Raw genomic sequence first — 11,156 nt, 5'->3', positions numbered from 1 at the left:
CTGAGTGTACCCCTGCACTCTAGCCTGGGCAACAGAGCAGGACCCTGTCTAGGAAAAATTTTAAAAAAGAACAAAAATAAAAGGTTTAAGTTTTATTTAGCAAATATCCAGGTACCATGCTAGAGGGAAGAGGAAATGCAACGAATGAGCAGGGGCATTGACGTGTGAGAGAGGACGAAGCTGGAAGAACCGGCAGGGACAGAACTGGCTAAATGGTGCCTGTGTGGGCACCTCGTACCCCAGGGCCTTGCTAGCGTCTGGTACATGGGTGCTCAGTAAACAACTGTTGGGTGACTTTTGTCTGAACTTAACTTTTTAATTAAAAAAAAATTTTTAGCCGGGTGTGGTGGCTCACGCCTGTAATCCCAACACTTTGGGAGGCCGAGGTGGGCAGATCACTTGATGTCAGGGGTTTGAGACGAGCCTGGCCAACATGGTGAAACCCCGTCTCTACTAAAAATACAAAAATTAGCCGGGTGTGATGGCGGGCGCCTGTAATCCCAGGTACTCTGGAGGCTGGGGCAGGAGAACCGCTTGAACCCGGGAGGCGGAGGCTGCAGTGCGCCAAGATCGCGCCACTGGACTCCAGCCTGGGCGACAGAGCGAGACTCCTTATCAAAAGTAAACTAAAATAAAAATTAAGGCCCGCGCGGTGGCTCCCGCCTGTAATCCCAGCACTTTCGGAGGCCGAGGCGGGCGGATCGCAAGGTCAGGAGATCAAGAACATCTTCGCCAACTTGGGGAAACCTCGTCTCTACTAAAAATACAAAAATTAGCCGGGCGTGGTGGCGCATCTCTGTAGTTCCAGCTACTCAGGAGGCTGAGGCAGGAGAATCACTTGAACCCGGGAGGCGCAGGTTGCAGTGAGCCGAGATCACGCCACTGCACTCCAGTCTGGGCTACAAGAGCGAAACTGTCTCAAAAAAAAAAAAAAAATGTAGACGAACCTCCAACGAACGGCTCACCTTGCCTCTCCCAGGCCCCACCGGGGGAGGTCGATTCCATCGACTCTCAACTGCCAACCCCTGAGGAGGCTCCGCCTTTCCCTCACCCTCGTCCTTCTCCTAGGCGGTCCTTGTTTTTGCCGGGCCTTTGAAAGTCTCGCGATAGCTCTCCCGCTTCCCATAACTCCGTGCGCTCTCCCCTCCCGTCCTCTTTCCGCCATCTTTCCGCGCCGGTGAGTAGCACTCTCTGAGAGCTCCAATTTCATCCGTCTGCCATCGGCGCCATCCTGCAATCTAAGGTTCGGTCTCGGTGTCCTGCGAGGAGGCTGGTCCCCACCTTGGCCGAGGATCCTGGCCTTGCCGGTTCCTGGACAGGCATAGAGGAGAGCCATGGCTGGGCGCCCCAGACTGTGCACTCAGGGGATCCCGGTCCGTGGGGTGCAGGCCGCAGCGCGGGCGGGAGCCGGAGCCTTCGACTGCCCAGCTAGGCGGTAGCTCCGGTTCGGGCCGCAGCGTCTGGATCTCCCTTTAGTGCTGAGGCAGCGCCTTGGCCCCGGGCGGCGGGCAACATCGGGGCTGGTGGGCCGTGCAGCTTCTCACTGCTGCGGCCGCGCTGGGAGCTTGGGAGGCTGAGGCCACCCAGCAGGTAAAAGCTGCATCGTGCCGGGGTTGGCAGTTTGCTGGGTGCCAACTTGGATCTTCTGGGCCGCAGAGTTTTTCTTTAGACACTTTTGAACTTAAGGAATTTAAGTTCTACTCTTTACTATTGGCACTTTGGTCTTTCAAAACTTCAGTGTAGTGTGCGGTTCTTGCCCATTAGAAGAGAGTCCAGTCTGACAAGCATGTAAAATGTTTCTGTTTGCCACTGTGGCTCTTGCTGTTGGACGCAATTTTAAATGGCACGAAGATGGATGTTTAATAGTTAGATGTGTTCATTGTAGGTGAGAGTGAACTGATTTAAAGTACAATGTTAATAGTATGGAATCTGCTGATTTTCAGCAATTTGGAAAATGTTGCCGATGATACTCTGCTTCTGTTCTGAATCACTGATCGACTATACCCGATGTTTTCCTTCCGGTAGCTGGCAGTTTCTGCCAGTTCTCACGTTGTCTTGTGTCAAGTGGATTTTGTCCCACATTTTATTATCTCCAGACGTTGGTGTGTGGCACGATTCGAAGAAGAGTGGTTAGTGAATGAATGAGTTTCAAAATGTGCAGGCTGACGTCCCGATAACCTGTTTTCAACAACCGTAGTAAATAGGAATTTTCCTGGGTGGTGGGAAATGGAGAAGCAGCCTGCTTAGACTTGAGAAAACTTCGCCAAGGTGGGGCCAGAAAGGAAAGGATACTTCCGCAGTGTAATGGTTGGTGTCTGTTGATGTTGGCAATGCCAGTAAAACCTCCTGTTTTGTCTTCCTTGAACAGCCACAATGGTGCGCATGAATGTCCTGGCAGATGCTCTCAAGAGTATCAACAATGCCGAAAAGAGAGGCAAACGCCAGGTGCTTATTAGGCCGTGCTCCAAAGTCATCGTCCGGTTTCTCACTGTGATGATGAAGCATGGTAAGTCTGCTGCCGCTGTGTTTTATGTTTTCATGTGAGACTCTCTAAGAAATCAGTCCTGTAGAAATTAATTATGGGGGACCAAAGTATGTCTGTCATACCTGAGAACGAATGCAATTGACCTGTGGGCTGTGGAGGAGGGGATAGTCTGAAACTGCTGAAGAGTCACTTAGAGTAGGACTGCTGGAAAAAGGAGCTCTGCTAGGTGTTTGGGAGCTAAATGAATCTAAGTCATTGAAAGGACTCCTGAGCTCATTTCGAGACCAGCCTGGCCAACATGGCAAAACCCCGTCTCTACTAAAAAAACAAAAAACAAAAACAAAAATCAGCCGGTCGTGGTGGCAGGCGCCTGTAGTCCCAGCTCTTTGGAGGCTGAGGCAGGGAGAATTGTTTGAACCCAGCAGGTGGAGGTTGCAGTGAGCCGAGATCGGCCACTGCACTCCAGCCTGGGCGACAGTGCAAGACTCCATCTCAAAAAAAAAAAAAAGAAAGAAAGGACTCTTGAGATCTTCTCAGAGCTCTTTGAGAGGAAAGATTGGATTATTGCACTTCTTTGGCACAAAGTAGTCTTTGGGAATGGGAAGCAGTGAAGGAAGGGTCAAGGGGAAAATAGTTTCTTTCAGAATTGCAAGGTGGATTGTTTTGGGTATTGTCTCCCAATTCTTATATGTTAGGTTGTAAAAATTAGTTCTGATACAGAGCAACTGTCTTCCCCCCAACTTTTTGGAGAAGCAGTCACTGAGGTGATGGGAGAGTGAAGAATTGAGTAGGCTAGAGCACAGAGGTTTAGCTCTCAAGTTGATGTCTTTTATTTAATCCAGTCAGTTATCTTTTGTAGGTTACATTGGCGAATTTGAAATCATTGATGACCACAGAGCTGGGAAAATTGTTGTGAACCTCACAGGCAGGCTAAACAAGGTAAGAACGAGTGATCTACACATTTCAAAGCTTTAAGAATTTTTTACTGTGGCGTTAAATGTTGTAATTGCCTTTGGAAATACTGAGTAGTGGTGCCATACTTGATTTATCCAGTTACTTTAAAAAGGTTTAAAAATTGACACATGGAACTTCATTTGCTCTCCTGGGTTGATTGTGCTAGGATTATGTCAGTTGACCTAGTGTTTTTATGGGGTATAAGCTGTCTCAGGAGAGATGGGGGGTGAAACCAACGCTGGTACTGGTATTTGGATGTTAACGCTACCCACCTCACTGGCTTGAACTTGGGTGGCTCAAGGCCATTGAGCCTTTTGTCCAAGGTGCTGTGTCCTTCCTCTCAGTGATGTGTTGGGTTTTTTGAATGGAATCTTTATCTTTGAGTAAATGGGGCTTTCTAAATAGCAATATGAATACTTTTTCTGTTTTTGCTGGCATAGGTCTTTGGGGTCTATGCTGCTTTTCAGTTTGACTTGTCAACACCTTAACCAAGTAAAACTGACTTTGTGGTTTAAGTGATTGCGTGTGTTTTGGGGGCAGGTGTCTTAAGCTGGTTGAGGTGTCCACTGTGCTTCCTGTCAGGTTTGTAGCTTTCAGATTTGCAAGGAGGCAGATCCTCTAGTTCAGGCTTGTCCAACCTGCCTTATTTTGTTGTATTGTTTTAGACTTGTAGCAGCCTGAAACCATGGTACTTAGTTTCTGTCTCTAGTGATAAATGGAAAAGAGGGATGAGGAAGGGGCCTTACTGGCCCAACTAGAAACAGAAACTAAGAACCCATGACTGTATTCTCTCCCTTGGACACCCCTGTGTTTATTGCAACAGATAGGGGGGAAAGAGACCCAGAAGGTGAGTTGCTGAAGTATTTGTTAAAGATTTGAAGAACTAGCTGGGCACAGTGGGTCACGCCTGTAATCCCAGCACTTTGGGAGGCTGAGGCAGGCGGATCACGAGGTCAGGAGTTTGAGACAAGCCTGGCCAACATGGTGAAACCCTGTCTCTACTAAAAATAGAAAAACTAGCCAGGCGCAGTGGCGGGCGCTTGTAATCCCAGGTACTCCGGAGACTGAGGCAGGAGAATTGCTTGAACCTGGCAGGCGGAGGTTACAGTGAGCTGAGATCGCACCACTGCACTCCAGCCTGGGTAACAGGGCAAGACTCCCTAAGATTTGAAGAACTTGCAAGGGTAATTTTCAGTATGTCATGTTTTGTTCTAGTTGTAGCCATTAGAACCCCACCTCAAAATAGGATTGATTTATTTTTATTTATATTTCTTTTGAGATAGTCTTGCTCTGGTTGAGGCTGGAGTGCAGTGGCGCCATCTTGGCTCACTGCAGCTTCCCTAGCTCAAGCCATCCTCCCACCTCAGCCTCCTGAGTAGCTGGGGAATACAGGTGCATTCCACTGTGACTGCTGATTTTTCTTTAACTTTTTTGTAGAGGTGGGGTCTCGCTATGTTGCTTAGGTTTGTCTTGGACTCATGGGCTCAAGTGATCCTCCCACCTCAGCCTCCCAGAGTGCTGGGATTACAGGTGTGAGTCACTGGGCCCAGCCGAGAAATAAATTTGAACAGAGCATTCTGTAAATGGAACTTATTTGTGGCACCCTTGTTCTGTGGTATGCTAGTTTGAAAAATTCTAGCCTACAACAGTTGATATGCAGGCCCTGCTGCTCTCTGCCCGTTTTTTGAGACGGAGTCTCACTCTCACCCAGGTTGGAGTGCAGTGGCACGATCTTGGCTACTGCAACCTCTGTCTCCCAGGTTCAAGCGATTCTCCTGCCTCAGCCTCCCTAGTAGCTGAGATTACAGGTGAGTGCCACCATGCCCGGCTAATTTTTGTATCTTTGGTAAAGACGGGGTTTCGCCATGTTGGCCAGGCTGGTCTGGGACTCCTGACCTCAGGTGATCCACCGCGCCTGGCCTGTTCTGTGACTTTCGACAAAGCAAACAATTTTTGGTTTCTTGGAATTTCATTTCTCCCCATTTAAAAGAGAACGTCCCCCTCCATCGCTTTCATGCAAGACATGGACCTACCCTTAGCGTGGAAATTGAGCTTGGAAGTAAGGTAGTGTGTAAAGACTAGATTGATTAAAATTCTGGCCTTGATCACATCCTCTTACGATTCTTCTGGGTTGGGGGAGGGTATGCTGTTTTAATTCTACCAGAATGAGAAGAATTTTTGCTGCTGGAATCAACATAAAACTTGGATGCAGCGTGCGGCAGACTTTGGAAAGATCTTTCACTATAGCTTGCTTGGATAAAACTGGTTTTCCCATATTCCTATCCCTGCATTTCTTTCATCTGCCGTGAGATTGTCCTTGTTAGTCAAGTCACAGCATAGCTGATGGGGTAATAGTAGGAGAACTTAAGCAGGCTTCCTGGCGTAGAGCAGTTGGGCCTTTCTGACAAGCCCATTTTCAGTTTCTGTGGGTCAATCTCTGCTTTTGGAAGTGTTTTTCAAGTGTGCCTGTGATTTTAGAGCAGATTTTGTGAGCAGAGGGTCTTCAGTTAGTGGACATCAGTTAGTGGACTTTCTTCAGTAGTGTTTTAGGGCTGGCATGTAGTTGAGTGATGGCAGCCCTTGGCGAGCTTTTACTTGGGAGGATCATTGTTGCCATGTCCCAGTAGCCACGAGATGAGATAATTGCAGGCCCTTTGCTCTTTCTGCCTTCCATCATTCTGTCAGATTTGTTTGGAAAAATTTGTCTGGGGCTGTAGGACATTGTTTCTTGGAAATATGTAACGGTACTTCATTGGTGGGAGCAGCGTTCTTAGTTCAGTGCCTGGACAGCGTGTTCCTTAGATATTCTAATAATTTGTAGAGCTTCAGGATTTGAGACCCTATGATTTTATTTCAGCCTTATTATGTAAGAAAGGGTTGGCTGTAGTCTCTCTTGTCGAGACTTGATCTCTAGGCTATGTAAAATCTGATCATCCTGGACAGCTCTCCAGCCAACAGGGAGCACGCCAGTGGCCTGACACTGCCATGTATTGCCTTGTTCCATCTCTTTGCATGCCTTTGCTTTTTCTCCTAGGCAGGCGTAGTCTTACTTAGGTGTATTTTTTGAAAAGTATGTCAAGCATTGTGCACAGAATAAGTACCCATCTGAATGCTGGGTTGGTTGGTTTGGAGGACTGTTTATTTATGAATGTCATCTTGTGTTACTCAGTTTTTCTGTTATTGGTAAAGTGAAGAATGTTTTTGTTGTTGTTGTTATTTTATAGTGTGGGGTGATCAGCCCCAGATTTGACGTGCAACTCAAAGACCTGGAAAAATGGCAGAATAATCTGCTTCCATCCCGCCAGTTTGGGTAAGTTGGCCTTTCCTTAATTAAAAGAAGTTAATGCTAAGAATTTCTGTGGTGCAGTTTGACTTAAGGGTTTTTTTCTTTTTTTCTGTTTAAAACAAAGCAGTGGTAATTTGTCTACTCTTAACCATTTTGACCTAATAGCTCAAGTGTTATCCATATTTCTTTTCTCTCTCTTTAAAAAGAGACAGGGTTGGCCAGGCACAGTGGCTCACGCCTGTGATCCTAGCATTTTGGGAGGCTGAGGCAGGCGGATCACCTGAGGTTGGGAGTTCGAGACCACCCTGACCAACATGGAGAACCCCGTGTCTACCTAAAATACAAAATTAGCCAGGCCTGGTGGCACACACCTGTGATCCCAGCTACTTGAGAGGCTGAGGCAGGAAAATAGCTTGAACCCGGGAGAGAGGTTGCGGTGAGCTGAGATTGTGCCATTGCACTCCAGCCTGGGCAACGAGTGAAACTCTGTCTCGAGAAAAAAGAGAGAGAGACAGGGTTTCACTTTGTTGCCCAGGCTGGAGTGCAGTGGCTGTTCACAGGTGCGGTCATAACACGCTACAGCCTTGGCTTCTTGGCCTCGAGCAGTCCTCCCCGCTCAGCCTCTTGTGGATTTGGGAATACAGGCGCCTGCCACCGTGCCTGGCTATTTGCCACATTTCATGTGTTGAGCTTCAGGTTCTGAGAGGCACATGAGAGCTTAGACTGGCAGAAAAGGGGGGTCGTGTCCACTTTCATGTCTGCCCTTTTGGCTCACTGCAGATAGTTCCCTGTGATCCCAGATGAGGGCCAGAATCAGTTCTAAGCCTAGGCCTTTGGGAAAACTTAGTTTGGGAGTCTTTGTCCTTAAAAGCCTATCTGAGTTCAAACCCTTGTTTTTCTGCTTTAAAGCCATGAGATCTTGGGCAAGTCACAGCCTTGATTTCTTCATCCGTAAAAGTGGTAATAGTTCCTCTGTTTATCACCTGATTTAATTTTGGTAAAGCACTTTATGAGCTGACACAGTAAATGTGTATCTTTGTGGTTAAGAATTTATACCCTCCAAATTATGCGTCTGGTGCCTTGGTTGAAAGTATTCTCACTTCATGGTTGCTGTATTACAGGTACGGTATTCTCACCAAAATCATTTCTCTTTGTAATTATGATACTGATTTTAATGCCGCACATTTGCATACTATATGCTTGTTACAGTGATCCCCACAGTAACTCATGAAGCAGCCACTCATTGTACAAATGAACGTCTCCATATAATAGTTTAGCTATTATACAGTACATGGCAGAAACACAATTCAAACTCAAGTTTATACGAATACTTTCAAGTCTCCTTACCTGAGAGCAGAAAGTGACATTTAAATTTAAAGGAGTTCCCAGCCTTTGTTTTCAGTGCAGTTTGTTTCATGGTGTAGGCAGAAGTCAGGGCTGTGTGATTGTGTGGCTGGGCTCTCTGGATTTGGCTCTTTGGGTTGCAGGAGTCATGGCTCATACGCTACATGAGGCACCAGCTCATGTAGGCACTGTCAGTTCCTATGTGCCCCACAGGAAAGCGCCCTTAACCACTGATGAGTGTTGATGTTTTTCTGCACTAGAAGGCACTATGTTGAACTATTAAACTTACCAGCACTTTCTTTTTCCACTCCATAGTTTCATTGTACTGACAACCTCAGCTGGCATCATGGACCATGAAGAAGCAAGACGAAAACACACAGGAGGGAAAATCCTGGGATTCTTTTTCTAGGGATGTAATACATATATTTACAAATAAAATGCCTCATGGACTCTGGTGCTTCCACTTGGTCGTTTTGAGCCTTTACAGCAGTGTAGCCACAGCTTCTGCGGCAGCATGCAGTTGCTTCGTTTATCGGTGAATGCGATTCCCTGAAGTGACTAATACAGCCAAGGGAAAAAGTTCTTATGAAACCAGTATGCCTAAGAAACAGTCACCCCTGCTGTCTGCCAAAACCAGGTATTTGACACTAAATATTTTAGTTGTATTTCAGTTTTTTTTTTTTTTTTTCTTTTTTGGAGACAGAGTCTGACTCTATTGCTCAGGCTGGAGTGCAGTGGCGCGATCTTGGCCCACTGCAACCTCCACCTCCCGGGTTCAAGTGATTGTCCTGTCTCAGCCGCCTGAGTAACTGGGATTACAAGTGTGTGTCGCCACATCCGGCTAATTTTTATATTTTAGTAGAGACAGGGTTTCGCCATGTTGCCCAGGCTGGTCTTGAGTTCTGGGCCTCAAGTGATCAGCCTACCTCGGCCTCCCGAAGTGCTGGGATTACAGCCACGAGCCATTACACCTGGCCTATATTTCAGTATTTTCTATTAGTTTTTGATGAATTTGTTTTGCCTGGCTAGGATTATTCTGTAGATAGGATTTTAGATCTGGCTTTTGTCACTGACTGCTGTAATAAATACTTGCTAGGAATTTTTTTTTTTTTTTTTTTTTTTTTAAGACAAAGTCGCTCTGTCACACAGGCTGGAGTGCAGTGGCATGATCTTGGCTCACTGCACCTCCGCTTCCCAGATTCAAGTAGTTCTCGTGCCTCAGCCTCCTGAGTAGCTGGGATTACAGGTGTGTGCCACCATGTCTGGCTGATTTTTGTATTTTTAGTAGAGGTGGGGTTTCACCATGTTGGCCAGGCTGGTCTCGAACTCCTGATCTCAAGTGATCTGCCTGCCTTGGTCTCCCAAAGTGCTGGGATTACAGGTGTGACCACCACGCCCTGCCTTAAGAATTGTTCCAAGAGAATCTGGTGCCACTTGCAGGTGCCCATTGAAGTGCAATGGGCACTGTTGATCACTGAGGAGGTAGTGGGTGCTGACCCGGTGCTGGGGCCTGTCCCCTAGTCTCTGCTTTGCCCTTGGCTAGCTAGGTGGTGTGCCAAGTGGGGAGAGAAGCTACCTTATTAAGGGGCATGGATCAGCTTCCTGAAAGGAGGGCCTGCCTCTGTAAGATATGGGAAGTCGCTGAGAATGTTACAGAACGGCCCTAGAGATGGGGCAGATAACGGCCCCCATTTGTGAGAAGTGAGTTGGGAGGCATGTTTGGGGCCTCTGATGTTTGGGAGGCTGTGGGTAATTAACATGAGTTTTGGGGTCCAGCAGCAGAATTCAGGTTTCCTCTTCCACTCAGTAACCTCAGCATCCGTATCTGTAATGGGAATGATACAAAACCTATCCCCAAGTTGAGGGAAAAATGAGATTGTGTAAAGCGCACTTGGCACATGACAGTCACAAGCATGGGGACAGTGAGTCCAGAAGGATTTTCTTATGCCAGCATTGTAAGCCCTAGGATCACAGGGCTCTGGCTTGTTTAACCATCGTGTCTCTGGTCCCTAGCCTGCAAACCTGGTGTGTAGGGATGCCTCAGTCGCTTACATGTTGATTGAGTGAATCGTCGGTTTCTTTCTGGACACTGACTTCAAAAATAAAATAGGATATGAAAATGGCTCCATTTGTTGTCACCATTTTGTGGGGATCCTATGTCCTTTGAAGTGGTCAGGAGTGGGAGAAACGTGACAGGGGAAGAAGGAGTGGTGTGGCTGATGGATTTAACATGTGTTCTTTTATGTTGGCAAGGAAGCGGATGACCTTACCCCTTGTTCCTCAGATCCTGTAAATGGCTTTATAACATGACCCAGGGCTGCTTGGTGTGGGACTAGACCCCAGGGTTTGAGGGTCTGAAGACAATTTAGGTTCGTGCTGGCAGGATGTCTTGGCTCAGAGACAAGTATTTCTGTGGGGTGATCCCAGCATCCTCCCAGCATACTGCTGCTGTTGCTAGGCAGAGACCCCGGAGTGGGGAGAGGGTGATAGCATCTGGATCATCCATTCCTACCTAGGTGGTTTTGGCTCATAGTAAAAGGGACCCAGCACCTATCCGCTGCTCAGCCTCGGAGCTGCAGGTGTCAGGGATATGATGCACTGTCCAAAAAGACATGCAAAACTTAACACCCCTGCATTTTCATGGAGAGACCCCGTGGAGCCTCTGACCAGAGGCTGAAAGAAATGTGTCATTCAAAAGACCAGGGAACCACTGCCAAGGACCCCTACATTCAGCAACACATCTATACTCGTGCCTGCCACGTGTCCTCACTTAGAGGCTATTGTCTCACCTCAGGGTCAGGAGTGCCAGGTGAAAGAGCACACAGGTCTCTGGGCAAGGCAGAGTTTGAAGCTAGGTCTGGACCAACGTCTGAGAGGATGACTTCACCCCAGGCGAGGAAGTTCACTTTGAGCTCCTGGCCAGGGAGAAAGCAAGCTCTGGGAGACCTAAACTCTGAATCTCACTTGGCTTTTCAGTCTAATCCGTTGTTGCCAAAGACATACTTGGCAATCCCGAATCCTCAGAGGGCTCCATACGTGCTGCGCTTCAGCCTTCGCTCACGGTTCATCCCACCTGGAATGCCTTTT

General features: G+C 47.5%; 1 protein-coding gene across 2 annotated transcripts, besides 3 other annotated features; it reads left to right on the top strand.

Annotated features, from left to right (window-relative positions):
• Positions 916 to 1,545: an enhancer, noted in NCBI's record as "active region_10518". NCBI's record gives its function as "activates an Ori minimal core promoter by ATAC-STARR-seq in GM12878 lymphoblastoid cells {active_cell/tissue: GM12878}" and the evidence as "EXISTENCE:reporter gene assay evidence [ECO:0000049][PMID:35858748]".
• Positions 916 to 2,200: a biological region, named in NCBI's record as "NANOG-H3K27ac-H3K4me1 hESC enhancer GRCh37_chr16:18800609-18801326".
• On the top strand, positions 1,153 to 10,192 carry RPS15A (ribosomal protein S15a). 2 transcript variants are annotated; one of them, NM_001030009.2, is made up of 5 exons: positions 1,153 to 1,177; positions 2,369 to 2,506; positions 3,345 to 3,424; positions 6,664 to 6,749; positions 8,385 to 10,192. In NM_001030009.2, exons 2-5 carry the CDS (start codon positions 2,374 to 2,376, stop codon positions 8,476 to 8,478), a joined length of 393 nt encoding a protein of 130 aa, NP_001025180.1. In that variant the 5' UTR covers positions 1,153 to 1,177; positions 2,369 to 2,373; the 3' UTR covers positions 8,479 to 10,192. The 2 variants fall into 2 exon arrangements, with proteins under 2 accessions (NP_001025180.1, NP_001010.2); NM_001019.5 differs by having other exon boundaries at positions 1,153 to 1,243.
• Positions 1,483 to 2,200: an enhancer, noted in NCBI's record as "NANOG-H3K27ac-H3K4me1 hESC enhancer chr16:18800609-18801326 (GRCh37/hg19 assembly coordinates)". NCBI's record gives its function as "activates a minimal SCP1, AML or CMV promoter by ChIP-STARR-seq in naive H9 embryonic stem cells {active_cell/tissue: H9 hESC(naive)}" and the evidence as "EXISTENCE:reporter gene assay evidence [ECO:0000049][PMID:30033119]".
• Positions 10,193 to 11,156: the final 964 nt, after the last annotated feature.

This window comes from Homo sapiens, chromosome 16 (assembly GCF_000001405.40).
Source record: "Homo sapiens chromosome 16, GRCh38.p14 Primary Assembly".
In the NCBI taxonomy this organism is placed as follows: domain Eukaryota; kingdom Metazoa; phylum Chordata; class Mammalia; order Primates; family Hominidae; genus Homo; species Homo sapiens.
This window is presented reverse-complemented; position numbering and strand designations above follow the sequence as displayed.

Coding starts and splice junctions, on each gene's coding strand:
- RPS15A (NM_001030009.2), top strand. CDS start 2,374: ATGGTGCGCATGAATGTCCTGGCAGATGCTCTCAAGAGTATCAACAAT. Junction 2,507..3,344: donor CACTGTGATGATGAAGCATG/GTAAGTCTGCTG, acceptor TATCTTTTGTAG/GTTACATTGGCGAATTTGAA. Junction 3,425..6,663: donor TCACAGGCAGGCTAAACAAG/GTAAGAACGAGT, acceptor GTTATTTTATAG/TGTGGGGTGATCAGCCCCAG.